Here is a 5660-nt window from a genome sequence, read left to right as displayed (position 1 = left end):
TATAGATGATTTAAAAACTGCCTAAATTAACCCTTGTAATTGCCCCAACATAACCATAATGCTCTATGTAGAAAATAAGTTCAAGATACAATACTTGAGCCTCAATATCCGTAACAACCTTGTGAAGCAAATGACATTAAATAAATAAATCAATAGCAGCATTTAAAAGAAGGAGTATAGGAGGAAATTGACATTCTGATGTGACTGCATAATAGTAAAAATGCTATCTGACTACACACAGGAGTGTAGATACAGGCTTAATCTAACTTTAAAACATAAATTAGAGCACAACAGTACCCACATATATGACGAATATCACATATTTTTCATTAGCCTAAAAAGTTATGAGGGATATGAAACATTCTGAAAAGGGCAACATTTTTTGTGTCAATAAGGACTAGGATACCATCTAAGAAAGACTCTTCCACATCATTCAGTCTATCTTTTTTTATTTTCTCAGAAACCACTTTTATTCCCATGAAAAAGAAGATACAGCCTAGATTACAACACACAAGTCCTTTTAAATATCTGGAAAGCCTTCTCAAGGAAGACAGGTACAAACAAGCTCAGACAGTGAAGACTATAATAAATACATAATTCTTCAATGGCCAGACACAGATGAACATCTACCAGTATCAAGACACTCCAGGAAAACATGACCTTACCAAATGAACTAAGTAAGGTACCAGGTACCAATCCTGGAAAAAAGAGACATGTGACCATTCAGAGAGAGAATTCAAAATAGCTGTTTCAAGGAAACTCAAAGAAATACAAGATAATGCAGAGAAGTAATTTAGAATTCCATCATGTATATTACACAAGAGGTTGAAATAACTAAAACGAATTAAGTAGAAAAATGCAATGGGCATACTGAAGAATGGCATTATAGTCTTTTAATACCAGAATTTACCAAGCAGAATAAAGAATTAGTGAGCTTGAAGATAAGCTCTTTGAAAACATACAGTCAGAGGAGACAAAAGAAACAAGAATAAAAAATGATAATGCATGCCTACAGGATCTAGAAAATAACCTCAAAATGCAAATCTGAGTTATTGCCCTTAAAGAAGAAGTAGAGAAAAAGATAGGGGTAGAAAGTTTACTCAAAAGAATAATAATAAGGAACTTACCAAACCTAGGGAAAGAAAACAATTTCCAAGTACAAGAAGGTTATAGAAACCTGGCAAACTTAACCCAAGGAAGACTGCCTCAAGGCATTTAACAATCAAACTCTGAAAGATCTAGGATAAACAAAAGATCTTAGAAGCAGCAAGATAAAAGAAGCAAATAGCACACAATGGAGCTCTAAGACATCTCACAATAGACTTTTCAGTGAAAGTCCTACAGGCCAGGAAAGAGCGGCATAACATATTTAAAGATTTAACATGCTGAAATAAAAAATACTCTAGAATAGTATACCTAATAAAAATATCCTTTCATAATGAAGAAGAAATAACAACTTTCCCAGACAAACAATTTTCCCATGGAGGGATTTCATCAACATCAGATCTGTCCTATAAGAAATGCTCAATCAGAAAGAAAAGGATGGTAATAAGCAATAAATAATCAACTGAAGTTACAAAACTCACTGCTAATAATGATTTCAAAGAAAAACACAGAATATTATCACAACTGTGGGTGGAAACTATCTTTATTCATACTAGAAAAACTAAATGATGAACCAATCAAAAATAACTACAACAATTTTTAAGACACAGTACCATAACATATAAATAGAAAAAAAAAAAGCTGGTGGACAAAGTAGAGTTTTTATTAGTATTTTATTTGTTTATGCAAACAAAGTTATTATCAGCTAAAAATAATGGGTTATACATCAAAAACAGTCAAGCTGAGAGCCAGAAAAGGAAGGCAATCTCATTCACAATTACCACAACATGAATAAAATATCTGGGAATCCAGCTAACCTGGAGGTGAAAGATCTCCACCATGAGAATTACAAAACACTGCTTAAAGAAATCAGACAAGACACAAATAAATGGAATAACTTCCCATTCTCATGAAGAGGAAGAATCAATGTCATTAAAATGACCATACTGCCCAAAGCAATTTACAGATGCAATGCTATTTCTCTCAAACTACCAATTACATTCTTTGCAGAACCCAAAAAATCTATTTAAAAATTGATATGGAAACAAAACCAGCCCAAATAGCCAAGGCAATTCTCAGCAAAAATACCGAAGCTGGAGGCATCATTTTACCTGGCTTCAAACAAGGCTATAGTAACCAAAATAGCATGGTACTGGTACAAAAACAGGCACATAGATGAACAAAATGGAATAGAGAGCCCAGAAATAAGGCCGCACACCTACAACCACCTGACCTTCAACAAAACTGACAAAAACAAGAAATGGAGAAAATACTTACTCTTTAATAAATGGTGCAGAAGATTGAAGTTGGACACTTTCCTTACACCATATACAAAAATCAACTCAAGATGGATTAAATATTTAAATGTAAAACCAAAATCTTATTTAAAAAACCCTGGAAGATAACGTAGGCAATACACCCTGAACACAGGAATGGGCAAAGACTTCATGAGAAACACATCAAAAGCAATCAAGCAAAAGCAAAAATGGACAAATGGGATCTAATTAAAGAGCTTCTGCACAGGAAAAAAAAAAAAAAAACACCATCAATGGAGTAAACAGATAACCTAGAGAATGGGTGAAAATATTTGCAAACTATGCATCTATAAAGGTCTATATCCAGCATCTATAATAAACTTAAACACATTTACAGGGGAAAAAGAAACAACCCCATTAAAAAGTGTGCAAATGACTTGAACAGACCCTTTTCCAAAAAAAAAAAAAAAACAAACAAACAAACAAAAAACAGAAAAACAAATGTGGCCAACAAGCATATTAAAAAGTCTAATCATTAGAGAAATGCAAATCAAAACCACGATGATACTATATTGCATCAGGCAGAATGGCTATTATTAAAAAGTAAAAAAAAAAAAGATGGTGACAAGATTGCAGAGAAAAAGGAACACTTATACACTGTTGATGGGAGTGTAAATTAGTTCAGCCATTATGGAAAGCAGTATGGTGATTTCTCAAAGAGTTAAAAACAGAACAATACCATTACTGGGTATAAATTTAGAGGAATATAAATTATTGTACTATAAAGTCACATGCACACAAATATTCATTGAGGCACTATTCACAATAGCAAAGACATAGAATAAACCTAAATGTCCATCCATGACAGATAGGATAAAGAAAATATGGTAGAGATTACACCATGGAATACTATGTAGCCTTAAAAATTAATGACTTTTGCAGGAACATAGTTGGAGCTGGTGGCTTTTATCCTTAGCAAACTAATGCAGAAATAGAAAACCAAATACCACATGTTCTCACTTTTAAGTGGCAGCTAAATGATGAGAACTTCATAGGAGAAAATCTAATAATCTGCTTAAAAATAGGCAAAAGATCTGAATAGACATTTCACATAAGAAGACATACAAATGTCGAACAGTCATATGAAAAGGTGCTCAACACCGACCATGATGTGATTTGCATGAAATGCAAATCAAAACTACTATGAGTTATCATCTCACCCCAGTAAAAAATGGCTTTTATACAAAGACAGACAATAACAAATGCTAGTGGGAATATGGAGAAAAGGGAACCCTTAAACACTGTTGGTGTGAATATAAACTAGCACAAACACTATAGAGAACAGCATGAAAATTCCTCAACAATGAAAAAATAGAATACAAATGTGACCCAGCAATACTACTGCTAGCTATATTCCCCAAACAAAAGAAATCAGTATATTGAGGACATATTTGCATTCTCATATTTATTACAGCACTACTCACGTAGTCAGGTTTTGGAGGCAACCTACGTGTTCACCTACAGATAAATGGATAAAGAAAACGTGCTACACATACACAATGGAGTGCTAATTAATCATAAGAAAGAATGAGACCTGTCATTTGCAACAACATGGGTGAAACTAGCGATCTTTAGGTTAAGTGAAATAAGCCAGGCACAGAAATACAGAATTGCATGTTCTCACATATTTGTGGATCTAAAGATCATAATAATTACACTTAATGGACATAGAGAGTAGAAGGATGGTTACCATAGGATGGGAAGAGTAGTCGGGGGGTGGGGGTGGTGTAGAGGAGGTACAGATGCTTAATAGGTACAAAAAATAGAATGAATCAAAAGGACCTACTATTTGGTAGCACAACAGGTGACTATATAACTTAATCATACATTTAAAAATAACTAAGAGTATAATTTGATTGTTTGTGACACAAAGGATAAATGCTTGAGGGGATAGATATCTCATTCTTTATGATGTGATTATGACACATTGCATGCCTGTATCAAAACATCTCATGTGCCCCATATATATACACACACCTACTATGTACCCACAAAAATTAAAATAAAAATATCTGATAAAGTTAATATCCAAAATGTATAAAGTACTTATACCACTCAATAGCAGAAAAACAAATTACCAAAGTAAAAGCTAGAAAAAGACCTGAGTAGACATTTACCCAAAGAAGACATAAAAATGGCAAACAGGCATATGAGAAGTTGCCTAACATCATCAATCATCATAGAAAGGCAAATTAAAACCACTGTGAGATATCACCTAACATCCATTTGGATGACTGTCATCAAAAAGTCTAAAGATAAGAAATGATTATAAAACACAGTTGTTCAAAATGTAGATTGGTACAGCTGTTATGAAAAATAGTGTATAGATTTATAAAAAATTTAAAAATAGGCCAGGTGCTGTGGCTCACGCCTATAATCCCAGCACTTTGGGAGGCCAAGGCTGGCAGATCATGAGGTCAGGAGATCCAGACCATCCTGGCCAACATGGTGAAACCCTGTCTCTACAAAAATACAAAAAATTAGCTGGGCGTGGTGGTGGGCACCTGTAGTCCCAGCTACTTCGGCGGCTGAGGCAGAATGGCGTGAAACTGGGAGGCGGAGGTTGCAGTGAGCCGAGATCGCGCCACTGCACTCCAGCCTGGGCGACAGAGTGAGACTCTGTCTCAAAAATAAATAAATAAATAAATAAATAAAAATAAAAATAAAACAAGCATATGACCATAATACATGTATATTATATACACATAAATGCATACATATATTATATAAACATATGTGTATATATAATATATAATACATGTGTACATATAACATACAATGTATATGTAGCATATGTGTATATAAAATATACAGTGCATGTGTGGTATATGTATACATTATTGGTATGGTTTGGCTCTGTGTCTCCACCCAAATCTCACCTCAAACCATAATTCCCATAATCCCCAAGTGTCAAGGGCGGGGCCAGGTGGAGGTAATTCCATCATGGCGGCGGTTTCCTCTATACTGTTCCTGTGATACTGAGTCTCAAGAGATCTGATGGTTTTCTAAGCATCTGGCGTTTTCCCTGCTTGCACTCATTCTGTTCTGCCGCCCTGTGAAGAAGGTGCCTGCCTCTCCTTTGCCTTCCGCCATGATTGTAAGTTTTCTCAGGCCTCTGTAGTCCGGCGGAACTGTGAGTCAATTAAACCTCTTTCCTATATAAATTACCCAGTCTCAGCATTTCTTCATAGCAGTGTGAAAACGGACTAATAAAGTGCATGTGTAGTATACATTATGTAC

The sequence above is a fragment of the Homo sapiens genome, chromosome 21 (assembly GCF_000001405.40).
Source record: "Homo sapiens chromosome 21, GRCh38.p14 Primary Assembly".
Lineage (NCBI taxonomy): Eukaryota > Metazoa > Chordata > Mammalia > Primates > Hominidae > Homo > Homo sapiens.
Note: the sequence above shows the minus strand (reverse complement) of the source record.